The 26,980-nt window shown below is 40.0% G+C and overlaps 1 protein-coding gene across 11 annotated transcripts in view, besides 1 other annotated feature; it reads right to left on the bottom strand.

Annotated features, from left to right (window-relative positions):
- PBX1 (PBX homeobox 1) overlaps positions 1-26,980 on the bottom strand; it is a 326,864-nt gene that overhangs the window by 61,288 nt on the left and 238,596 nt on the right. For 7 of the 11 annotated variants that reach the window (XM_011509590.3, XM_017001395.3, NM_002585.4 and 4 more), the window contains 5 exons: positions 24,871-25,061; positions 17,083-17,218; positions 12,611-12,770; positions 4,576-4,688; positions 3,134-3,223 (listed from right to left, as the gene is read on the bottom strand). In XM_011509590.3, coding sequence (XP_011507892.1) covers positions 3,134-3,223; positions 4,576-4,688; positions 12,611-12,770; positions 17,083-17,218; positions 24,871-25,061 — 690 coding nt within the window. The remainder of the gene's footprint in view (positions 1-3,133; positions 3,224-4,575; positions 4,689-12,610; positions 12,771-17,082; positions 17,219-24,870; positions 25,062-26,980) is intronic. The other 4 variants (XM_011509592.3, NM_001353131.2, XM_047421784.1 and 1 more) reach the window with 1 other exon arrangement.
- Positions 24,482-24,982: an enhancer, noted in NCBI's record as "H3K4me1 hESC enhancer chr1:164769015-164769515 (GRCh37/hg19 assembly coordinates)". NCBI's record gives its function as "activates a minimal SCP1, AML or CMV promoter by ChIP-STARR-seq in primed H9 embryonic stem cells {active_cell/tissue: H9 hESC(primed)}" and the evidence as "EXISTENCE:reporter gene assay evidence [ECO:0000049][PMID:30033119]".

The following is a 26,980-nucleotide window of genomic DNA, read 5'->3' as shown; positions in this document are numbered from 1 at the left end:
ACTCTAAGCTTAGTAAGTATTGCCCATTGTCACATGAGAACACAAAGTACTTAAGGAGGTATAATTTAACTCTCACCATGGCTAAGGAAGGGGGTCTTTAGGCCTTGCATAACACTATATCCATCTCAAAAGCACACCTTTCCATCAGAAGAGAAAAAAAAGTGACAAATGTGTCCTAACCTATCCTCACTAGGAACTACCTACTGAGAAAACTGCTCACATCAGAGGAGAAAAAAGGTCAAATCAGAAAGTTATCACTTACAAAATTTCATACTGCATTCATGTGGAATAATTTATGCTTTGCCAATCCCTTTCCGACTTATTTTCTCATTTGCCCTAAGCCAGTCCTTGAAGTAAGTATAAAGGGTGGGAATTACTGTCCCCATTTTCTAGAAGAGAGATTCAATATTTGCCCACGGGCACATGAGTTACTAGGACTAGCAGCTCCCAACTCCCTTTATAATACTCCTACCACCGCACCTTGCAATTCTACTGCTGTGTGGTCAGTTAAAGGCAAATGGTCTGAACTTTACAGGGCTTAAAATAGATGCTGCTTGGATAAGATATGGGTGCTGTGAAAGCCCAGCCAGGGGAGCAGATAAACGCTGCCCAGAAAATGTCCTCCACCGAATCAAACACAATCCAGAGCCCAGCTGGGAATTCCACTGCAGCTTTGGGGTTAGGAACTGTTTATTTTCATTTCTTGGCTCAAAGCTTTCATTCCTGTCCTTGTCTCTTCTTGTCTCCCCTCCTCTCTCTCTCCTGCTGGCAGTCATTGTCCTGCTCTATACACACATGTCTTAGCATCGAATACCACCATCTAAAAATACATCTCACTATAACAAGCTTAGCCTCCTGCAGGTGGCACAATTTAAAACTGATATCAAAAGAACATATCACGATCAGCCTTTGATTCATTTACCCTGCATATTAAAGACCCAGAAATAAAATAACCACAGTTCATGGAAAAAAAAATTAATGCAAAGTGAGAGACTCTTTCAAGTGGCATTTTCAGGCCCAGTTTTTGTGGTGGGCTTATGTCATCAGACATAATTGTCTGCACATGTTTGGTTACACTATTTCAGAAATTATTCCCAGCCCACCAGATGATGTCAGAGGGGTCAGTGTTGACCCCCCCCCCCACCCCCCAGAGTCTGACTGCTGCTCTCTCTCTTCTATGCTGCCCAATTAGGAAAGAAAGACGCCAAATAACAGCAGTGTCAGCCCCATTTCCTGCCCAGTCATGTGGACTTCCTTCAGTTCCTTTTGAGTATGGCCAGGTTCTTGTCCCTACACTCTTGTGCTTTCCTCATGTTCTTCTCTTCTGCTTATGCACAGAGCAAAGCTTTCTCTGGAAAAACTTATATCCCAAAAAGATTCAGGAAATACATAAATGCATGTGTGTATAAACCTGCACTCAGACAAAATCCAAACAACTTCATTCATTTGGAATTCTTTTGGAGAATACACTTTCCCACAATGGCTTCTTGTATTTTTCCAAGCAGTCTTCCCAGTAAGTCAGCCATCAATGCAGTACTAATAGTTAATGTAGTTAGAACAAGCACAAGATGGGAAGAATCTCTCTGTCCTAAAAATCCTTCCAAGAAAGTAAAATGATTGTCTAGAATATGTTTAACAGGGTTAACTTTGACTTCTCTCCTTCCATTCCAGAGAAGACTTGATAAATATTGTGTAAACTCAAGAGGAGATTCTGCCTGAAAAAGGTAGAAAATAAAGACTCCCTAATGTAAGTGGCCTTAAAAGTCATCAAGACAATCAAAATCTGCTGCCTGACTTCCTTCTGCAACATCCTTACCAAGCAGCTAGCCAAGCCATGTTTGAATTTTCCAATGATGGGGAACACTTAAGGGCAGCCAACCCCTTCTTTGGAGGACTCTTACTGTGAGAAAGGTCCATCAGATGTTGAAGTGAAACCTGTTTCTCTGAATCCACTACTTAGTAGTCCTATCCTATCCTAACCCCTTTAGATCATTCATGATGAATCTAATAGTGTTAGCATGCCTTACACTACTATGTAACCCCCAAATTTTCTCTTTTATGAGGTAAGAATTCCTAATGTGTTCAATCATTCCTCATCTGATCTGAGAAATAACTGATATTCTCTTAATCCTCCCAAACCAGACAGAATCATGTATGACTTGACCAACGCAGTTGAAGAGGTCATCACCTCCTTCACTGCAGACATTATATCTCCATTAGTATAGATTACATTAATAAATCATGCCTAACTCTTCTTCCTTCGATCCCTCATTCACTTTAATCATAGCAACAGAAACAAACAATAAAAAATGATCACTACCCACCACCCAAACCTTTCTTCAATAGTTAAGAGCCAATAGTTCTACTCAAGCCTCCTGTGACCTCTAAAAGCCCAGGAATCATCCCTGATCTAAAAAACAGCCTCCTTTTCCAGGCTGCCCTCTTGTCCCAGCTTGCTGTCACCGCTGCTGAGAAAGCAGACGATTGATCTGAGAAATCAAGTTGGATTGCTGTCCCAAATCTACACTCGGTTCTCCTTGTGTCTGTCTGATCGATTTCACTCTGTGCGACATAGCTTGTCGCTATGAATTTTCATGCTAGTCAGGAGCCGCCAGCGTACCCAAGAACAAGTAGAAGATGGTCTGCATCCCTCCCCATCCCTTCTACATACCCAGCTTCTGTGTTAATTTTCTTTTTAATCGTCCATAGACAGATTGAAAAAAAGTATTTTTTTTTTCAGACCACAGACGTGGATGCAATGGATTTTGGCTACTGGTTTCACCTCCCAGGTTCCCAGGCCCCAGCTTGTGGTCACATTTCCTACCACTGTTGTACTAGGTGTCACCTGTTTAGCAGCTCCTCTAGCTGAACGCATGTGGCCGCAGGTGCCATGCAAACACTGATTGCGTCTGACAGCCCTAGACGCCAGCTGCCTGCATGAAGCCTGCCCAATCGCCACTTTTTTTGTGGGTAGAATGCTGCCGATGGCATGACCGATACAGAAACAAGAAACTAGGTGACCGTAAAGCTAAGATAAGCCCTACTAAGTGGCATTCTGGGCCCTATGGCTTTGAAATAATTGGTAGTGAAAGAATAAAAACAAAGCAGGGGGTGGGGGGGCTTGTTTTCTTACACTGATGCCCTGCGGACTGTACATCTGACTGGCTGCGAGTCCATCACTGTATCCTCCTGTCTGGCTGATAACATGGCGAAGGGTATCCACCTAAACAGATGAACAATAACAGAGAGAAAATTAGTCAGAGAGGTGTAGGAAAAGGGAGGCAGATCATCATCAGGCAGGCCACCATTTGGGCATGCCATATTAATGCAATCATTTTGGAGACAGTTGTCCTGGGAGAGTCCATTAGGAGGAGGCTAGCTTCCTCCGTATGCCAATCCATAAAGAATTCTGAGTTCAGTAAGCAAGACGTAAAATGGTAAAAGAAAACTGGGATCTCCACATTGAAACTAGTTCAACAAGTCTGCATGAGATGGTAAGGATTAGGATGATAGAGGGAGCTGGAGGGGAAAGCATGAAGGAATTTTCTTTTCTCCCCATTTTTCTTCCCTACAGGTCATCCTATACAGCTGTTCCTTTGCTGGGTATCCTATAAAAACAAAGGTTCTGTTTAGAGGAGGTTTGGGCAGCCATCTCACAGAGAGAGCAGTACTTGATTGAGACCTTGTATTTTTTGAGGACTTAAGTGATGGCCAGTTGTTTAGTCACTTGACCAAAGCCTGACCATATCACTTCAAACTGGTTTCCAGGCAATGTTTCTCAAGAAAGGGGTGAATCGCTGACCAGTTGGTCTGTTCCGGGCTTGTAATGCTTCTTGTTCCACATGGAGGGTGGGAAACTAGGCTGACATGGCTCAGAACTTCCCTAGTAATTCTGACCCACAGCATACTACTTTACCCTCTCACAACATGTTTCATGCTGAGGTAGTAGGATGGCTTCTTCAAGTATCATGAAGGAAATCTGCTTACTATGGAACACTAAAATTTGATATCACATGGCTTGATTTTGCTTCCCAATGTGGACTTCTACTCATCACCAGAAACTCAAGTCCCTTGACCTCAAGGATGACTAAGAAATGTATTTAGTCAACCTGGCTGGGTGTTTTTAAAGCTTAAAATGAAAACGTCCGATAGTAATATATTTGCTTGCTTGTTAATTGCCTCTTTATATGGTAAATATTGAGCAGGAGAAACCAACACATGAGAGGGAGACCTGGAAATTGAGGTAACATCCTGAACACCTCCTCCTTTTCCCTTTGGTGAATAAAGAATATGCTGGTTCCACCTGCCTGATGTGTCTCGGTCACCTTGCCCTGTGCTTACTGTTCTTCTCCTGCCTTCCAAGTACAACTGAAAAGCCAGAGCCAAATGCATTCACAAAGTGTGGACGAGATTCCCCATGACAATGGTTGTCTTGATTTTGGTTCGGTCGTTGGTAAGGTTTTGGTTCTGATCTGTTTTTCTCTCTCTCTCTGGACAGAAGCAGGAAGTCCAATACAACTGAGGGCTCTTGGACTCTAAGGCATTCACCTGGTGACATATTGGCTGGGTCCCTACCTGTGATTGCACGTTGGCTCCAACCTGGGCCCCTTGGTAAGAATCCCCATTGAGTGACTGCACGCTCATGAACAAATCTCCAGAGTTTGACATGTTAAAAGAACTGGAAGAACCTGGAAAGGAAAGAGTGAGGCACCTGAATCACAGAAAGGAAAAGGCTCAAACCCCGCAACTAACAGCCAAGAGGAAGAATGACATGCAAAGCAACCCCCCCCAAATAAAAACTAAAATAAAAATAACATCAACAGAGTCTGGTTAGTAGCATGAAGAACAGAGCAAGCAATAAAGGGTGCATATTGTTTATGTTATGTGAAGCCATACCTTACTGCAAGTTGTCAATAGAACTGCTTCCCCTTGGCAACTTCAAGCCAAGAAAGGGAACCTTTATTCTTCCCAACTTAGTCTATTTGGATTGTAGTCTCTAGACCTAGGATCTCTCTTCTATGCCTCTAAAATTCTAGGGTTGGCCAGGGGACCACAAGATGGAGGCTATGGGCTGGTCACTGGTACTTCTGCCACCATGATAGAGCACATAAACTATTCAACTGGATTCTAAATATGTCATTGCTAAACCATCCCCTCCCCTGTGAGGAGCAGCACCTGGGAGGGAGTGCATGAAGGCAATGTCACCTACTAGGAGTGGCTCTATGATATGGGTCTATTGACATTCTTAATTTCTAAAATGAAGGTGAAATTTCTTGCAGGGTGGCAACAGCCCAAGGAACCTTGAGGACTGTAAGAATATGTGGGAGTGATCTACCCTTCTCTGCCACCTGTGACTACAGAGAAAACAAAATAATGGGCCAGGAATTCTCAAGCATGCATAAAATATGAAACATCGCTGCTAATAATAATAATAGTAATAATAATAATAAGTGGGCCTCAAGAAGGGCCATTAGCCATCTGCTTTTCACCTCCCAGGGATGGAAGCATCATCCAGTGAGTTAGCCTAAGGTCCATCCTGGCACCACCCAGGTTCCACTGGTTCCACTGCGGTGAACCTAGCCCACATTCAACCTAAGCATAAGGGCTTGCAAAAGCTTAATATTATTCTGAAGTCATCGTGCAGCTCAGCGCATTAGGAAAGAAAGCTCAACGTGCAAGGTTTGGTTAAAACATGACATTAGCCTGGAAAAGGAAAGACCTTAGGGACCCAGGTCAGTTGCACTCTATTATTTCCAACCCTATATTGCTCAAATTGTGCTCTTGCCCTCATATTCTGAGACAGCCATCATCAGTGTGGAATCACCCAACAATGATTCATGCCTCAGCTCTGACACTTTTCTTTTCTCCTAAGGTAGGGATTTGAGCTCTGAGAGCTTTCCTGCCCCACATGAAGAGGTGCAGCTAAGCAGAAGAGAGGACTTTTTTTCCCCCATAGAAGGACCACTTAACAAATGATGAACTCTAAACTCTGACACAATGCACTGTTTATTTATGGTATCTATCTAGGCTATTCATGGTGTTTTCATACTTTAAAGGCAAGAGCCATTTAGAGAAAGCAGATGATTTATAAACCTGGGGACAACTCAACATTAAAAAAAAAAAAAAACTCCAATTTTCTTTGTCCTGTGGGATGTTCATTTGCATGCAAAAAAAACCTAGCTATTTTACTAAATAAAACAATCCTCCACCTAACTCCCTTCTCATTCCTTCTTTCCCAGGAAAAAATAAATGCTTTCTTTGGGGGTTAGAGGAGGACTCAAGCATCAACCAAAGGACTATGCCATCTCCATAGCTCTGCGACTTGTCCTGTCTCATCTGGCCCACATTTCTCTGTTTAGCTTATCTGAAAGGAATTAGAAAGGTAGGGCCTTAGCAAAACAAGTGTAAGATCTGGCCAGGTGTGGCTTATACCCAGTCAGTGGGACAAAGCCTTTGGTCTGTAACTTCCTTCCATTAATATGGGACCTATCTTTGAAACTGTCTTCCTGAACATATGAATGAAACAATGTGTGGCACAGATCACATTCTCACGTGTAGATATATAATATCTCTATATACTAGTTCTATCCCTCTCAAATATTTTTTGTAATCACAGATATAACCTAAATAATAAAAGTCATTTTGTAATGTATTACAATACATGCTTGCATTTAGATGTCATCAGAACCAAGAAGAATCAGCTCCAAGAACCCAAATTATAATTTGTTATATGTCATCAGACTCCCCCACCCAACTCCCCAGAGTGTTCAGTTTCAGGCTCACGTATTTTACTTCTCTCCCATCGTCTCTAGATGATGTCTCATCACCCAGAGAGTCAACCTTAAGGTCCATCCTGGCACCACCCAGATTCCACTGGTTCCACTGTGGTAAATCTAGCCTAAACATAAGGACTATAAGTTTGACCAATGTTTTTCTGGAAATTAGTATACAAACTTAGAAATGGGAGAAACCCCCAAAGGGCTACATGATGTCCAATGACGTGGCATCCATGGAACCATGAAGGCATGGAATGTGTCATTTAAAAGATACACATTGCAATTGACACAGGTGATTTAAAAAATACATGTGCATAAACTGTAAATATGTCTGGCTGCCTAATGTACACAGAGATAAATATGCATATATAAATGTACTTCATATACAAGTGCATTTGTATCAGAGCAGTAATTGAAGAAACAGTCCCTTGTGCTCTTGGCTGTGCTGTTTCAGCATTTCATTGTGTCTGTACACCCATGTACAATATTACCATGGCTTCTCACTCTCTGATAAGTATCTAGAAGCACTGACTGTGCTGAGGGAAGAGACCAGGTGCCACTAACACCACAATGAAGCAGACGGAAGTCCACAAAAACATCTGAACTACAAGGGGAGGACATGTTCTCTACCCAGCACTGCAAGTTGGAAAGAATTTATCATGGAATGGATAACCTCCTGGGAAGCACACGATCCACTGACAAATAGTGAATGGGCTCTCTTGGAGGTGCTGTGGCATTCTCAAAGAACTGAAACAGAAAGACTTGGCTTGCTGAGAAGATCATTCAGAAACCTTACCTGCAGGCTGTTTTGAAGCCATCAGCTACCATTAGAAGCACATTTTAAGATGTGGTTGTCAGTTAAAAGGTTCTGAATTTGGTTTGGGAAGGAAGGCAAGCAGCTCATTTAAACTGCCACCCAGACATTTGGGGCATGTGCAGAACTAAATCTACACTCAACTAGGCAGAGAAGAAATACTGGATCACTTATGATTATAATGCATTTGCTTGGGCAGACATCATGATGTGGTAAAGTGTCCACATCCATTTTCATCAGACAAGTTCCAGAAAATTGCATTTCTACTCTAAAGAATCTTCAGGAGACTTAAATTTGTTAAAGAAAAACAAAAAAATTAAAAGCAAAAAACAATAAAAAAAATCAGTTAACTTCATAATCCAAAAATAATAATAATAATAATAATGATAAAGCTTAAACCTAGAATAGGATCTCTCAACCTTGTTGCTACTGACATTTTGGGCCAAATATTCTTTATTGTGGGAGATTATCTTATGCATTGTAGGCTGGTTAGCCCTACAATGGTTATCCTCTATCCAATAGATGCCAATAACAACCTCCCTTCAAAATTGTGACAACCAAAGATAGCTCCAGATAGTACCAAATGTCCCCTGGGAGTACAAATTTGCCCCTAGATGAGAACAAAAGACCTAGAGCAAGAACGGATTTACTTTTTCCTTTTAAGGAATTCAGTGTTTAAATGTATTCACTCAATATTCCTTACAGTATTTTAATGAAGTAGTTGCCATTTTCTGTAGTTTAGAAATCAAGACTTCAGATAGATTATGTGGCCAGCCTGATTCAGCTTGATTAGATTGGACTCTCATACCATTTGGGAGCTCAAAGGATAGGCCCTTTTTACTAGATGTAAGCTTAAATTATGTCCCATGCATGCTTGCTTTTCCATTTCCCTTTGTGAATTCCAAAATTCATTGTTACTTTCTACTTGGGACAAAGCAAAAGAGTAAAGTGTTGTCTGGTTGAATGTGAAAACCCTTCAATAGGTATGTATCTCAAGGTTGTAGAGTTCCAATTCCAGGACAAATTGTTTTCACTCTTCAATCAAAAATAAAGAGGAGAATCATACTAAGAAAGACATGAGATAAAACATCAGTGGGATAAATATTTTCACTTGGTTTTAAAAAACAAAATTATAAGAATTCCTGTGGATTTACTAAAGTTTTAGTCAACTTCTCTGTATGTGTTACCTTCTCTCTGTGTGTATTATATAAAAACTTCTCATAGGGCATGAAGGCTCTGAGTTTTAATATAATAACCTTTCATCAATCCTGAAAAACACCAAACCTCTTTTTAGGGGTTGATATGATTAGACTTTGTGTCCCCACCCAAATCTCATCTTGAATTGTAATCCCCATAATCCCCACGGTCCCCAGGTCAAAGGAGAGACCAGGTGAACTTAATTGAATCATGGGGGCAGTTTCCTCCATGCTGTTGTGATAGTGAGTGAGTTCTCACAAGATCTATCTGATGGTTTTATAAGGGGCTCTTCCCCACTTCACTCGGCACTTCTTCCTGCTGCCTTATGAAGAAGCTGCCTTGCTTCCCCTTCACCTTCTGCCATGACTGCAAGTTTCCTGAGGCCTCTCCAGCCATGCTAACCTGAGTCAATTAAGCCTCTTTCCTTTAGAAATTACCCAGTCTCAGGCATTTCCTCATAGCAGCGTGAGAATGGACTAATACAGGGGTATTACAAGATTATGTATATGGGCTTGCCATTGACTAAAATAGTGCTAGAGGAAGAACTTTCATGGTTGAATTTGCTGTTGTCCTTGACACAAACACACAGCTAAGCAAAAGAATTCCAATCTTGGGGTTCTGAGCTTCAGTAAGCCCACTACCACTGATCTAATCACAGAATGTGATATAATTTCAACGCTGATGGCATGCCACAGTGAACATCTGTAATGCACAAGTCAATTTCTTTCTTCTTGGATGTTAAAATCCTCTGCAGAAGATAATCCAAGCTTCTTGAAAGGGCCTCATTTTTCTGAGGTTTTATAATCTCATCGAAATTAAGAAATTAAGAATGCATTACTCTAGGCCACTACAGAAGAATTATAGACCCCAGGTTTTAACCAGTGCTTCAACTGGCCCCTATTCTTGCTTTCTTTTTTCAAAATTTAACTTTCTCTCCTTCCTTCTATTCTTCCTCTTTGCTTCATCCATTTTGTCTCACTTTGCTGGTATAAACTATGAAGCATGCTAAATGTCTCTAAATGCTTGCTAATCCCCCCGGGTTTTAGTCTTAAGTGATTTAAAAAAAAAATTATGCTTAAGAAGATAGGAGACATGGAACATATCAATAAATAGAAATATTTGGAAGTAATCTTACTGAAGTGCTGTTCTCCATACAGAAGCCTCTAGCAGGAAGAGGATTTACTTGCAAAGAAATATATTTGGTTTTTTTGTTTGTTTGTTTGTTTTGTTTTTGGAGTTGGAGTTTCGCTGTGTTGCCCAGGCTGGAGTAAGTGGTGCGGTCTCAGCTCACTACAATCTGCACCTCCCAGGTTCAAGGGATTCTTCTGCCTCAGCCTCCCGAGTAGCTGGAACTACAGGTGCACGCCACCATGCCCAGCTAATTTTTGTAATTTTGGTAGAGACGGGGTTTCACCACATTGGCCAGGCTGGTCTCAAACTCCTGACCTCGTGATCCGCCCGCCTCGGCCTCCCAAAGTGCTGGGATTACAGGCATGAGCCACTGCACCCAGCCAGAAATATATTTCTTTACAATAGAAATGAGTACTTATATTTTGTAAAACTCTGAAAAAAAAACTTCTGCTTCAATACTGAGGTTATGAAAAGTTCCTAGGTTCTACAACTCTAGACTTCAAACTCTGCCAAAATATATTTTCACATATTAACCTCTTATTTAAAATTTATTTCAATTATCATTTATCTTTCCAAATTATTGAAGAGCAAGTACATAACATAATAAACACCTTATGTGAAAAGTTTGAACATTTTAAAGTTCTACTTTACCTGTGTGGATGATTTAGGTTGGTTAAGAGCAAAAGAAAATACAGAAAAGCCCATTTATAACTTTTCCTGTTAAAATGTTTATCTTTTAAAATTCCATGCTATTGCACACATACAATAGTATTTTCTTTTGCCTCTACTTTAGAAAAAGCACTACAAAGGGGTTCCTGTGCAGATTATTTCCAACAACTTACGCACAATTGGAAGGCTTAGCTCAAATTTTCCATAATAATTTACTTTGTGCTCAGAATAGTCACATGATGTTTAAGCCACCAGAAAAAAATTCCTTAGAAAACTGTAATCATAGTCTGACATTCCATAAGAGGCAACCATATTTCTTAAACACAGAATAGAGGGTTAAAATGCTTATTTTTCTCTTTTAAGGGCTTTAGGAAAGAATAAATAGTTACAAATTTAGTAATGAAGAAAGTCCACAGGGCTTTTCTAAGGACTAGTCATAAATCATGCTAAGCCATCTGCGATGCAGATATACCAGGGACAGGAAAAAGTCATTTTGATATCGTTTTGCATTATGATAACCTTTGCAGGAGTGTTGAGTGCATTTTTGCTAATGTTGACAGAATTGTACTTCTTCCAAAGAGACAAGTGAAAATGTCTGCCTAGCAGCACAGTTCAACTGGTGTTGTTGGGTCTGAAATTCTTAATAATTGACCAGATGGAGAAGATGGAACTCTCTCTGGTTATTGAACCTGTTAGCTTTGATCCCTTGTCAATCACACCATGATGGAGGAAGAAAAAAACAAAATATTTCTAAAAAAGTAAATATGCTCCTCATAGGAATCTAACCTGCAGTGCTGGGAAAATTAAAACTGGATTGAATTCTACATTGTTTTATTATATCCATGTTGAAAAAGCCCAGGCTACTCTTCATGCATGATTCCATTTAGATAAAAGAAGGCCACAAAAGAAGTGCTGGGTATAGCCCAGTGACTTGGAGGACCTTATCATAACAAATTTATGCATCTGGAAGCTCACAGAAGACATCAGTCTGTGGAACCCTACATTTCTCCAGTAACGAGTCGCTGTAAGAAAACTTATTTTAGTGGACAAACAAGCTTTGTGGTCAAAGATACCACATACTCTAAAAAATGTTAGACATTAGGTTTGTAATCATATTACGATCAAACATATTTAAATTGGTAACCTTTTAAGTTAGAATCATCAGTTTTCTTAGCTGTGCACCCTAATCAAAGTCAAACCAAACTTATTTAATGAGAAAATACTTGTCTTTCCTTTACCAAAGGGAAAAAAAAATTACCACATGCCTTCCATAGCATACAAACACAAAGGTTATATTTTTTGCATTATTAACTACATTTTTTCACATGTAGAAATTCTGAACTGATGACACAAGGCACACCCCAAAATATAGTATTTTGACCTAAACTCTTAAATTAGTGATATAATGCATATTTCCTGAAACAAAGCCTATTACATAGCTCATGACCGATAATCATAAAGAAGACCAACAAAAAACAATAAAGAACAACAACTATAAACAATATATAGAAATATTCATAGCCTGGCTTTGCATACCAAAGCATTCTAATAAGATATTTGCTAGAAGAGTAAATATTTCTGCATAGAATGCATGCTAATAAGTGACCCAGACATTATGTTGTTGGAACAGCAAAACTGACAAGGATAAAAGCTTTATATAAAACAGGCCAAATGACAGAATCCCAATAGACTATCTCTAAGCACTATGTCTAACTTACTTATTGATATCCCTGAGAGGAGAATTTAGAGGTCTCTTCAAGCTAACCAATTTACTTTGGTCTTAACTTAATAGACAAATTAATGCAAACCTCCAGACAACCCACGTTGTAAAAAGTCTAACAGATTGCTCTTTGGAAATGAAAGAAAGAGCCCAAAGTGACATTAACATCCAAAAATACAATCAAATACAGAAATTAACCAATCAAAAGCCTAACAAATTAAAAGAAAATCCCAATGTAGGAACAGCCAGTATAAAAATGGAGAACAATTCCTTCCCCCACCCCCAATCAAAGAAAAAACTAACCAGCCGAGTTGGGAGTTGAGGGCGAGTTAGCTTGGCTTCCATGGGCTGACACATTGGTAGCAGTGACAGCTGTTTTGGCAGCATAAATATTGGCTTCCTCTTGAAATTTACCTATGTTCTTCTTGTACCGGATTCGCTTATTTCCAAACCAGTTTGATACCTAGAGTAGTTTAAGAGAAGATGAGAAAGTTCACATTTCATCCTTCAGAAACATTGCAGAAGAAAAAAAAGGCTTTATGGGAGAGGTGAAGAGGTAAGCTAATTGGTCTTATCCTATAATAATTTGGCAACATCAGTAAAAAGATCTGAAGTAAGAGCTTCAAAAGGACAACTACATAAAATGCGATTCTCTTGTTTAATATAACTGAAATTTAGCGAAACCACTGTGACAAAAATCTTCCTATAAAGGAGCTGCTCATTTAAGCTAGAACCCTTTTAATTTAGAGCAAGCATTTTAAATTTGCTTACATCTTCAGTTATGACACTAAAATATACCTAACATTTCAGGAGAAATGCCCCTAGCGTTTATCAATGTGAAAGCTGGCTTGATGCCATCAAGATACACAGATCTTTAAATGTCCATATAGGTGCTTTCGTGTGATAGATTAATTGCAAATTTTTAGAAGTTACATAACTTTAATGTGGACTGAGATTCTTAGCTGTATTTCACTATAGACCTTAGGATCAATATAATTCAATCTACCAGATTTCACTGACTATTTTGTGTAAAGCTTAGTGTTATCTACATAAGGAAAAACTGTAGCATACAAATGATTATCCCCTTGAATTCTAGGGTTTAAATGTTAAAGCCAGCAGACACAATAAACCTAATTTACTTTCATTTGTTAATTTATTTCCTTCATGTGGTTCGCAGCAGGTGTCTTGGCTTGATCTGGTACCTCTGCTCCCTTCATACCAAGACCTCTGCCAGACACAAGTGGAGACACAGTTAAATTCAAGTTTTACCCCCATAATTCCTGCCCGGGGAAGGAAAGTTTTATATCCCACATTCCAGATATGATTTTGAACTAAAATGTCGATGTTTTTATATAATTACAAAACAAACTATGAATCTGGTGAGGGAAGGGGGAGTTGATCCCACATGTACCACAGCTTACATATCATTGATATTTAACTCCCAACGACGGCAGATAAAGAAAACTGTTGCAAAACTATACTTAATTTTTTAAACGCATTAACAAACTTAAAACATCTTATAAGGATAGCACTGAAAGGCTTATACAGTTTATACTACAGCAGAAATGCCAAGCCTTTCTTTTTTAAAAAAAAATCAGTCTGTACCACCACAATATTAAACAAAAAAGAAAAAAATTCAATAAGAAAATGCTTTATTTATTGTAAACACTGATGTCTACAGAAAAAGAGGTAAACTGGAGGAGGAAGGACACTTTTGGGTGTATTTCAGGATCACTGCATATCTAGTTTCACTTTGAAATTTATGTTTTTCTTGACATAACTTTCACTATTCATAGGAATCAGTCATAATTATGGTTGCTTTTTGATTTATGGGATAGGAAAAGAAGAAAAAAGGTAAGGAGATTTTTTTTCTCAGATAACTGCACAAGCTGAAAGAAAAGGGAAAAAGATGAAGATAATTTCAGAGGACTTTTGAAGAAGAAATACCTGAGGTCCAATTATATGTAAAAAAAATATGAGCTGAAGGGGGTAAAGAGGGGACATGTTGTGGGAATGATACCCTTCTAAATGACAACAATGGAACTGGTAGGAAGGTGCTAGGTCAGTTCAGGGACTTCCTGCATTGTCCAACAGACAATGATCTGGACAATGTATAAAATGAGTGTTATCATGAATGAACTAATTACTCAACAGTCATGGACTAAGGGCCTAATACGCGTTAGGCACTAGGGATGTATAGATAACAGACACAGAATGAGACATGAAATACAGAAAGAATAGTAGGTTTTATGGGAAGAGTTTGATTCACATTTTGAACAAGTTAATTTTGAAGAACCTCTGGGCAGAGCCATGATGAAGTCCATTAGGAAGTAAAATTTATGAGTTTGGTGCTGCAGGGGAGAAGTTCCATTAGGTATTCAAATGGAGGTATTATTTGTAGCTGTGAGCATGGAAAAGATCACTCAGATAAAGCATATAGAACATTGCTTTTCAAAGTTAAGTGTTCATGGGGAAGTTGTTAAAACAAATTTCTATTATAGATTTCACCCTCAAAGATTCTGATTCAGAATTAGGGTGACACTCAAGAATTTATATTTCTAACAGGCTCCCAGGGGATGCTGATGCTGCATTCTGTGGATCACACTTAGAGTAGCTCTGGTATAGAAAAAGGGCTCTTTAGGGATCTGAGGAGATACAGTCAATAGGCGGATTTCAGATGGATTTGGGTGTATGGGCAACATATCTTTGTTTTGGGTCATGGGGGAAATCAATAGCTTTTAGTAGATTTCAAAAGAATTTGTGACTTCAAAAAAAGACAATAATGATACAGCCCAAGAGGTATTCCCTGGCTTTGGGAATTAGGAGAAAGATTTAATAAATCATGTGATCCAACAAACCATGATTAGTAAATGGGGCAACTAAGATCCAAAAAGAAAGAGTGAGTTCCCTAGGATCCCACAGTTGACTCTTGTCAAAAATAGGCTCCTTGCTTAATGCTCCTTCTATGACATCATATTATACTGTCTTCCATTGGACTTGTTTAGCAATGGTAGCTTAGTTGCTTTGGGGAGAGACAGATGTGATGGGGAAGAAAGAATGGCATGACTTTGGCATGGACAGAGGAAAGGGAAAGGTGACACAATATGTAAATAAGGATTTTAATGGACACACTATTTGTACCTTGAGTTTCCATAATGAAGGAAGTGAAGGTTGCGGGAACAGATCAGGATTTTAACTTGTATCCAGCTATACTACAAATTACCTCCAGGAGAATTCCTTTTACCTTCAACAGGAAGTTGAAATTCTGAATTCCACACTTGGAATTCAGACAGTAGTAATTTAATTATATTTTAAAAGCAGAAGGTTCCATGATAAAATTCAGTGATTTGATATTTGCTGCATATTTGTGGTCCATACCTAGAAGCATTCCTCAAACATGTAGCAAGTATCAAAAAGCATTAATTCCCTTTTTTGTGGAAAAGGGGTTTAGATTTGGATAAGAATGGTGACAGCCCTAGAAAAAACTAGGCTACTTGAGTTTGACCGCTGACGTTCCCGTTTCCCAGAACTGTCAAGACTAAAAATGACCTCCAGCTGGGTCAAAGCACCTAAGGAAGGCCCAGGTTAAAAAGGAGTCAATTCATTCTGCTTTATCTGAAAGAATGTTTTCAAGGATATTTGCTGCTGTAAAATCATCTTAGTTTGTTGGGAAGGCTTGGACAGTCCCTTCATTGTCAATACTTTTGTGGAGCTCTATATTCTGACTGGACCTAATTCTGTACAGCTAAACACAGGTTGATGGGATCAGCACCCTGCAGGGATTAACAGAAGTCAGGATTCAATTCAAGGAGGTACAGATGCTTAGTTTATATAAAAGAGCATCTACTTCATTTGAAAAATGGTAAGTGAAATTTCTCGCTACAGTAGCCTTCACTACTCCCTCCCCTCCCCAGTTTTAATGGAAATATCAGTACATTTAATTCTCCTGCATGTGACAAAATTCTAAGAAAAACCTTCTCCGATAGATTTCAGAATTATCACTATGGTTCTCAATTAGAAACCAGTGGTGGTATTTGAGGTTCAGACTGAATAAGAAGTTTGGGTGGATCTTTTGAGTGGACAAAATACACGTACACATAATTATTGCCTACTTCTCTGCTTCATATTCGTGTTGAAAACTCTAGGCCTATAAAAATTTTATGTCATGTATCTTTCCAAGTCATCAGACACCACCTGTTATGGTTATTGCTCTTTGGGGGAAGGGGGCATTCAGTGACATTTTGTTCACCATTCCAATGTAATCGCAGTGACATGTTAAAATTCCTACACTCCCATCAGTTATAGAGTCAGCACATCAAGAGGAGACATTTAAGTTCTTTCATTTAAAAGGCTATATAACAACTAGTTCCATTCACTGACTCTTAAAGTTCCTGGGTTGGGCAAAAAATGGCTAAGGAATTGACTGAATTTGAAAAAACAGCATGAGGAATGCAGATAACTTTCCTAGTACACTTTAGACACCTCACCCATTTGAAGCAAAGGAGTGCTCGATGGGAAGAACCCTAATCCTGTTTTTACATTGTACTCTACTTATTCTTCTCTTCCTTCTGCTGGTTCTTCTCAAGTTTTGCCAAGTACTTACCTAGAAACTCACTTATACGCATACACATCAAGTGCTTACCTTGATATTTTAAGGCTATAGCTGATGGAACTTGCAAGGCATGAATGTCCAGTAAAGCAAGACCTCTAAGAGCCTGCCCCGGAGGCCCCGCCATGGCCAGGCTACAGGCTGAGGCTTTTGAGGTGCTGCTTACCTGGGAGACTGTGATGCCACACTTCTTGGCTAACTCCTCTTTGGCTTCCTCACTGGGGTAAGGGTTGCTGAGATGGGAATAGAAATATTCATTCAGGATTTCTGTCGCTTGCTTGTTGAAATTCCGTCTCTTCCGCCTTTGTAAAGAGAAAGGAAATAATAACAAAAAGGCTCACACCAAATAAATATAAAATGGGAGAGAATAAATCTACTTCTGGGAGAAGACAAATTTTTGAGCAAAAGGTGAATTTGGAGCAGATTTACCAAAAGGGGCTGGATGCCAAAACCAACGCTAAAAGCATTTGCTCAATACTTCATTGTGTACCATCTGGGCACCGAACAGAAGAGTGGTCACAGATATTTTTGCAGAGTAGTGAGGAGTATAAAGTTTCAAAATTCGGGCCATCTTGGTTTGTTTTTTTGAGATGGAGTTTCACTCTGTCACCCAGGCTGGAGTGCAGTGGTGTGATCTTGGCTCACTGGAACCTCCACCTCCTGGGTTCAAGTGATTCTCCTGTCTCAGCCTCTTGAGTAGCTGGGATTACAGGCACGTGCCACAACACCCAGCTAATTTTTGTATTTTTAGTAGAGATGGGGTTTCATCATATTGGCCAGGCTGGTCTCTAACTCCCGACCTCATGATCTGCCTGCCTCAGCCTCCCAAAGTGCTGGGATTACAGGCATGAGCCACCGCGCCCAGCCCCATCTTGGTTTTGAATCCTCGGTCAATTGAATATCAGCTGGGTGATTTCGATCAGCTTCTTCCGTGAAAGTGAAGAGGGTGATACTGACTTCACAGGGTGAGAGTAGGGAAGAGATGAGACCACACAAAGACAGCACTCAGCACAGCGCCCAACACGTGGCAGCTGCTACAACTTGGTCTTTCTTCCTACCAGGTTCCAGGCACTGGGCCTGACCCCTCCCTCTTGGCAATCAATTCAAGTTATTCATTTTTCACTACTACTGAGGCAGATATGATTATTCGTATTTACCGATGAAGAACTGAGCTCAAAGGTCACTTGGCTGGTATGTAACAGAGCTAAGGTATTAATTCAGGTCTGACCACTACAAAACCCAATCTCTCTCTTCTATACAAATTGGCTCCTCACAATTATGCAGAGCTTCTGCAGCCATAAGTTAAAAATAAGTTATCATGTTCTTTCCATTCTATCCCCATGTAAATGCATGTAACATTTTTAAAAGGCATCTGGGGAAGAGGGCACAGAACTGACTGAAATTAACCCCCAACAGCTTGACATCCCTCAAAAGGAGAAAAGTGGCACTTCTTAAGCAAGAACAGCTGCTAAATGGTAAAACAAAAGCCCACAGAATTCTTTTTCATATACAGGTTGCCAAAAAGGAGAAAATCACTTTTTTTTAATAAAAGCATTTTCTGCCTTAAAAAAAAAGTGCTAATTGAACTAATTTAAAGTGAGAATCACTTTATTGCTTCCTGACAATGAAGGCCTGTGGATAGTTGAGGGAGTTGCAGGCTCAATGCAGGGGCTGGTTGGCCCTCCTTGAAGTTGTGTGGCCTTCATCTTTAAATTAGCTCACTTAGCACTTTTGCCTTTCTTGCTTTTATTAAAAGCTTTTCCTTATGGAAAAGATTTCCAGAACATCCCTGATTATACCAGGATATAGGATTTCCCAATTTAGCCAACAGAAAGCACTGATGGCCTTGCTAGACAGGAAATTCAGCTAATATTGTATTTTCAGGGTCCCACTTGGATTAATTAACACAATGAAGTGCCTGATTTTACCGGAAGAACACCATCTGTCCACAGGTATTAACCACATCTGTCCAGATTATGCCAAGCCCAAGTCACTCTCCTAAATCATGCTGAGTTTCTGGGTCACTCAGCATCAGAAATTGTACAGATTGGATTTAAAAGCCTAACTGCAAAGTGGGCATGTGTTAAAAGCTCTTGCATGATGGGAATTTGAGGAAGATAGCCAAGTGACTAACAGGGTCTGCAGGCCAGGCTTTAGATAACCTTTGGCTTCTCTTTCTTCTTCGCCTAAAGACTGTTGTTTTAGGCCTGGGGAACTGGACCCTGAAGGCTCCCTAATTTGGAGAGCCTCCGTTCCTTCATTCAGTTGTTTGCATTAGCATTACTGTGTATTTTTTGGGACTCTTCCAATTGAACTCAAAGGAAACCTCTCTGGAATGAGCTGGTGGTATGCGGATGGTGCAGACAGCTGTTCCCAGCTCTTCTCTCCTTGTGATGTGCAATCTTCCCTAGGTGGTCTCACCTACTCTGATGGACTCGCTTATCACTTCTTTTAGTAGCTGTCTTAATCTAGGGCCTTTGAAATCCTAGGATCAGGATTTTTCCAAATTTCAAGAAACCTAGTGAAAATAACACCTTTCTACAATAAGGTTGAGCTAACTGAGACACCTGGTTTCTTTGCTTTGGCTTGAAGTGTTATCACCTTGCTGAGTTAACATTTGTGATTTCAAACCAATCAGTAGCTTTGTGAGTTGGGCATCTAGGTTTTGAATTTAAGAAATTTGGAAGCTGATAAAATATTACTGGATAAATATGGTGTTTTAGGGACAGAATATTTTTGAATCACAGGGTCCATGGGGTAAGTTTTTTATAAAAGACTCATGATAGTGAGATGTGTAGACATCACAGACATACACTGCTAACTATCAAATTTGTTATCTCCTGCCCTAATACCTCTGCTAAGAGCCATTGGCCCATTTATGACTGCAGACTCCAAGCATCTTCAAACAAACTGTTTCCAAAACTAAGATCACCTTTTACCCAAATCAGCTCCATTTTCCTTGTTAGTCTTATTATTTGGTGACATTACTATAGATATGGTTCATTATATTTGCTAATTTGTTCATTCATTCATTCATTCAAAGATTGGAGTACCTAGCATGTGCTAGAAACTAGGAGTTTCTCAACTCTTCCTGCTTTCTTACCTTCATCAAATGATTGCCCCCAAAGCATGTCCTGACAGTTCTACACTTTCAAATCTACCTCTTCTGTTTCATTCTAATTGCGCTGCTATTTGTGAAGTGAGTGAAGAGGAGCAGCTGCCTGTTGTATCACTGTATGACTAGTGCTGTCCAAGAGTACTTTCTACGATGAGTGAAATGTTCTATATCTCTGCTGTCCAATACATTAGTCATTGGCTATGTGTGGCTACTGAGCAGCTGCAATGTGGCTAGTGTAACCAGAGAGCTAATTTTTAAATGTTTATTTATTTTAATTTAGTATTTAGTTAACTTAAATTTAAAAATAAATAGCTATATACCAGAGCAACACTAGATCAATGCTTTCCTAAGAAGCCCTCCTGGAAAAAGATTGTAGCTCTGGGGACACCATCAAAAACATAAAATATCTTTGGAACCTCTTGTTTTAGTCCACTTTATAATATATCAATGTTTATCTTAAAATAAGAATATTTTCTTTGGAATACTTACACAAAATGTGAAAAGTATTTCAATTTATCCTGTGCAGTGCCAGTTTGAGGAGCACAGGCTTCAATAATTGTTCTTTACATTGTCTTTTCTCCAATACAGCTCATCTTCAAGAGAATCACTAATCTTTCTAAACCACAGATATGATCATGTCACTAATCATTATAAAATTTAACAATAATGTGTATATATATAACAATGTACAATAATATATCATATAACAGTAATAATATATAACACAGTAATCATTATGATAGCTGAATTATGATGTGAATATTATATGCCAGATACTATACTAATATTTATTCCTATTTACAGGATTATCCCTGTTTTACAGGTAAGAAAACTGAGTCTTGGGAAAATAAGCCACTTATCCAGCGTCATATAGGTCATCAGGGTTGTAGCCAGAATTTGAATCCAGTGCAATTTTATGTGATAACTTCCCATACATCTTCCTTAAACAGCTCTGAGGGTTTCTGCTGTTTAATAGGATAAATTCAAAATCTTCACTGGTACAGTTAAGGGTTTTCAGTGGATCTTTCCTATCCCTAGTGCCTCATTTCCCCTCAATCCTACACATGCTCTGAACAATTTCATCTAGCCACATCATATGCCTCTGCGTTCCCCAAAGACTCGTGGCTTTCATGCTCCTGTGGCTTTTCACACCACCCTGCATATTTCTCTCCCACAACATCCGCCACAGATTTACATACGTCTCCCCAACTAAACAGCAAATTCCTCAAAGGCAGAGGACAGATCTCACTCATATTTGAGACCCTTGTGTCTCACGCATATAGTAAGCACTCAAGGAATGCTTGCTGAAGTAGAATTCTGTTATTTTATTTTGCTATTATTCCTTCTATTTGGCAAACATCCTGCTCCTCTGAAACTCAGTATTTTAGGCCCTCTCTCTGGATCATTTCCTTCAGGTGGAGTAGGTAGATGAATGAACTGAATGTGTAACATGTGGTGTTCTGTGTAGTTGTAACAGTATTTGTCCTATGAGCTCTTTGAAGGTAGGACCCACCTTTATATGCACTTTTTTCATCTTTGATGTTCCAGTGGCTACTATAACATCGGGCAGATAGTAAGAGCTCAGTTAGATAAGCCAGTAAATCTAAGTAGAGTGCCAGTGTGACCAGACTAGACCTTCTTGGATGTCCTTTCCTCTTTCTTGTCATCCTCTCTTTGGCAATATACTTTATGTAATCCCCTCTATTGCAGTGAAGTATACAGACGTACTTTTAATTATCTGTTTGTGTTACTGTTATTTCCAGAAAAATGTTATAGAAAAACAGTTAAGATTAATGCTCGAAAATCATTTAGAGAGCTTATAAGTTCTCTCCCTCTTTTAACTAAAAAAAAAAAATGTTATTTATAGTCCTGATAATAAACTTACCAAGTTGTATGGCACAATGCTTGGTATATAGCATGATATGATAAATGTTGAATGAATGAATGAATGAATGAATGAATGTGTGGAATTTTTAAGTTAAACTTCCGTGGTACAGTTAAGTCAATCTAAGGAAGAGAGACAGGAAATGACTTGAGTGGCATAAAGGGCCGAAAGGTTAGTTGAGGGGTGTGGTGGACAGAATTCCAAAACTCTAGACCCTGGTGTACACACCTTCCCTGTAAGTGGATGGCATAGTAAATATGATTAGGTTCCTCATCAGCTGACTTTGAGTAAACGAAAGGGAAGATTCGATTAAAGCCTTAAAATGGAAGGTTTCTCCTGCTGGCCCTCAGGAAGAAAGCAGGCAGCCAAACTGTGACCTGCCTATTGAGAAAGGGAGCCTCTAGGAACTGAGGCCCTCAGTCGTACAATCAGAAGGAAATGAATTCTGCCAACAACCAGAACGAGCTTGGAAGGAGACCCTGAGCCTCAGACGAGATCACAGCCTCAGCTTATAAGCTTGATTACAGATTCGCTGTGATTAGGGCAGAGGATCCAGCTAAGCCATGCCCAGGCCCCTGACCAACAGAAACTGTGCGATAATAAACTTGTGTTGTTTTAAGCTGCTTAATTTGTGGTAATCTGCTACGCAGCAATAGAAAGCTAATACAATGAGTGTTCCACAACAAAGTAGTAACACTCAATTCTACACACCTATTAGATTACAAAGACTAATCCTATTACTAAATCAAGTCCTCTTTGTATTTTATTTGTCTTCCATGAAATCTTTTTTGGTGAGGCCCTGCCCATCAGATGCATGGTTTAGAGGAGCATGTGAATATCTGCAGTGAGTGTGTCTTTCTTACTAAGTTTGCTTAGCTCTCTCTCCCAATTATAGCTAGTGACGCTGGAGGCATTGATGTGAATTCCCCAATCAGGATGTCTGGCAGACATTTGTTTTTGAACTGAGAAGGCCATTTGCTCAGCCTTAGGCTGGAATTTGGGGTCATGTTCTTTCACTGGTAATAAATATACCCCCAAAATGAAATGATAGTAACGATGACAATAGGTTAGTTGTTTTCGTTTTGAATCTTGGCTCAGAAGCAATGATTCAAATGTTGTAACCAAAGCAAGAAAAAGACCCTGTCTTAAAGTGATTGTCCGTCTGGTGCCAACTGGAACACTCTAGGCAAAGGCTGGTGGAAGCGAAAGAAACTTGCGTACAAAACCCTCCTAGCTTTGTGTCTGTTAAAGTCTGACCTTCAGCTGGGCACACTGGAATTACTGAGAGAAGATATCCAATGAGACAATAATTCTGCCCCTCCCTTCTCTCTGCTTACTTTCTTGAAAAGAAAGAACCCAGTCTGGAGCCAATTGTTTTTTTTTTTTTTTTCAATATCTGCCAACATAAATACCAACTCCAGCATTTTAACTAGGGGAGTTACCATGGAGATGTAAGCAATACATGCAGGGTGGCAGTGGCACAGAGGAAGGACCCAAACAGAGGCCACCAGTCACTTGCACTTTGCACTACGCAGAACGGGCTGCATTACAGAAGCCTGGCAGACAGCAGGCCACGGGTGAGGGAGAGGCACAGAGGATCCTGCTTTAGGGTGATTTTGCCTATTTCCACTCCATTACTATACCCAGCTGGGGAAAACGGCCTTCGTTTTTACTTTCTCTTGACTTATTCTATGGAATTCTACTGGCCCAGAGTTACATTTTGCTAGCCGGCATTCTCATGTTATATTCCATGCAACCCAAAACACATTGACTAAAAGGGAGTGAGGAAAAAAGATGCCAGGGCGTTTTAAAGAGGTCCAAGGACTGTAAAGACCATAATTGTGAACACAGAGAAAAATGCAGGTAGGAGAGCTGAATAAAACATGATCTCAGGGGTGAAAAAATTCAAGAGGAGTAATAAATTGTTTTATCTCATTGAAAAGAGGCAAAATTATAGACTGTGAAATGGTACACTGACCCTGACATATCTAATGTCCCAATGATAAAAATAACAGATTGGGATTATTATCAAGAATTTAAATATGAATGGTATCTGAATTCACAGATGATGAATTTAAGACAAACTCTAGATCACAAAGCATACCCATAATCAAAATGTATTTGCTAGATGAATTATCAAAATATTCTTCTAGAGTAGATGAAAGATATGACGACTATTACTATCTTACAGGCTGGATAACAGAAGCAAAAGGAATCAAAGGGTTTCACATAAATCTACCGGTCTAGAGAGTAGATGAAACAAGAGATGACCACTTGTTCTGTGTTCTCAGTTCTTGTCTTCTTTTAAAGGTCCTTTCTATCCATGGTTTCTTCAACTGAATGCTCTGAACTCACAAGTAAGGACATGAGCAGCAATGCCAGATGGAAACCATCAAACCAAGTTGGCCCATGTTAGACCACCTCCTTGTCCCTCTGTGTCCAAAGTGCCATGTCTTATTCAGCTCTGCACTCCTAAAATTAGCCCAGAGACAGCAATTTACTTAGGAATATTTGTTGAATTGAGTGCACTCTCTGTCCATCTACAGTGTGGAAAAGATCCCAATTTCCAAGCAAATGGAATAAACTTTATTGAAGAGAGCCTGTCGTGATAGAATGCTAGTAAGACAGCTGCAGGCCCATAGTTATAAGACGCAACTGTAAAAGAGGTACCTAGTGCTATGAAAAGAAAAAAATCTCACTGTACCTAAGTCCTCCTTGCTGCTACCCAGAGTGCATAACAGTAGTGATAAAGATCATCCCCTCCAACCATGTATTTTCCTGGTACTGTGTGAAACCGATGGCCCATCTAGTCTCGCAGAACCATCCTCAGGGTATCACTTGGTTCAGCGTTGATGGGGTGAAACTAGAGCCTGAAGGGGGCAGCGGCTGTGGACTCCAGCCCCAGATCAGGGACTCCCAGAGAGGGCAGGACAGCCCCATGGGAGACTCACCGCGCATCCAGAAATCGGGAACGCAGGATCATCACCGCCTCGCACGTGCTCTGCTTGAGCTGCATCTGGATGGAGCTGAACTTGCGGTGGATGATGCTGACCATCCGCTCAATCTCCTTTGGGGAGATGGGCCTGGTCCGGCTTTGCTCTCGCAGGAGATTCATCACGTGGGTGGTGAACTCGTTGCAGGCCTGGAATGGCAGGACAATCAACACCGTCATTGAGGGTCCAAGCCTCAACACGCATCAAGTCTATGACATTAGGCCACGTGGGCTTTTCTAGAGACTTGTGCAAATAAAGAAAACTAGGATAGTTTGTGGTAGACGTCCCTTTCAGCCCCTGTGGCTCAAAGTTTTGGCGATAATGTTGAATTTTTATTTTTATTTATTTATTTTTTTTGAGACGGAGTCTCGCTCGGTCGCCCAGGCTGGAGTGCAGTGGCACGATATCGGCTCACTGCAAGCCCCGCCTCCCGGGTTCACGCCATTCTCCTGCCTCAGCCTCCGGAGTAGCTGGGACTACAGGCGCCCGCCACCACGCCCAGCTAATTTTTTTGTAATTTTAGTAGAGACGGGGTTTCACTGTGTTAGCCAGGATGGTCTCGATCTCCTGACCTCGTGATCCCCCCGCCTCGGCCTCCCAAAGTGCTGGGATTACAGGCGTGAGCCACTGCGCCTGGCTGATAATGCTGGATTTTTTTAAGAGAAAAAAAAGTTTCTTAATCATTTTATCTTAATCTTTTTTTTCCCATGATTTTACCACAGTAAAATGTAAGAATATGACTTCTAGTATAAAACACACTACACCACCCTTTTTCCCAAAGTTAACAGCCAAAGAGAGTTTGGGGTCAAATGTATCATGTGCTTTCTGCCTTGCTCATTATTTCTGATATAGGAGTACTTCCAAATACTCAATTTTAGAATGCATAAATAGCCAAAAGAGTTTAAATGGAATTATGGAATTAAAAGCTTTGATAACTCTTCTGGGAGATTTCTCATCCACCTATTTCTGTTTCAAGTTTTATTATAAGAACTTCCTCTCCTGTTCTGGCCTTCTGAAGATCCACTATGTCTATAACACAAAGGGAATCTGTCCCCAGGGGTCTTACAGAAACAGCATCAAAACATGATTGAGAGGATTCAGGAACTATCCCTGCAGAAATAAAAATTCTCAGGTTATAAACTAGCATATCATCAGCTCTGGAGGTGGAGTTGAAAATCATATTTCCCCACCTCCTTATTTAACAGGAAGAAGTGGCCCAGAGAGCTGAAGGGACATTTCCACAGGCACACAGCAAACATGAAGAGGCAGAGGTAGGGCCTGAGCCCTTCCTATTTTAGGCCAGGGCCTCTGTCCTTTCCTAGAGTCTGAACTTACTCCTCTGAAAACTCCTGCCCTCTCTTTTAGTTACTATGACTTAGCATCCATAATCTGGTTTCCTTAGCTGAGCATTCAACAAAACATCTATTCACAGATTCACTCAAAGCAATACTGTAAAACTATATTAGATTCACAACAAAAAAGGCAAGATGATGCTTTGAGAGTTAAAGAACTAAAGACTCAATTCCTCCAACTTATTAACAGCAGAAACACGCTCGTTATTGATAACATTGCATTGCCGTTGTCATATGTGTCGACAACGCAATAACAATAACAATAGTAGACATTTACTGATTATTTATCTAAGAAATCCTTTGAGGTTGGTTGGCCAAAGGTACATAGGCAGGTGCATCCACTGGGCTGTGTCTACACTGGTGAATGGGAGGCCTGGGTTTTTGACCCTGCCTCCATGAATATTTGGGCACATCCTTTCACTACTCAGTGCTTCATTTAACTCACCCAAAAGTGGCTTTAATCATTCCTGACCCTTCAGCAAGGCTAATGGCACCCATGCTCTTGTGCCATGACCTGCAGACTGAGCAAATCCCTCACATGAACACAGCAGAGAGGCTGAGTGAGAGCACAGTCTGGGTTCAGCTCCTGCCTCTGGAACTCACTTGGCTGTGGGATCTTCAAAGTTACTTAACGTATCTGTGCCTCGTTTTTCTAATTTGTGAAACCGAGATGGCAATACCCTACCTGATAAGGTGTAGTAAGGATTAAATGAGTT

Source organism: Homo sapiens, chromosome 1 (assembly GCF_000001405.40).
Source record: "Homo sapiens chromosome 1, GRCh38.p14 Primary Assembly".
In the NCBI taxonomy this organism is placed as follows: Eukaryota; Metazoa; Chordata; class Mammalia; order Primates; family Hominidae; genus Homo; species Homo sapiens.
Note: the sequence above shows the minus strand (reverse complement) of the source record. Positions and strands in the feature narration are given on the sequence as shown.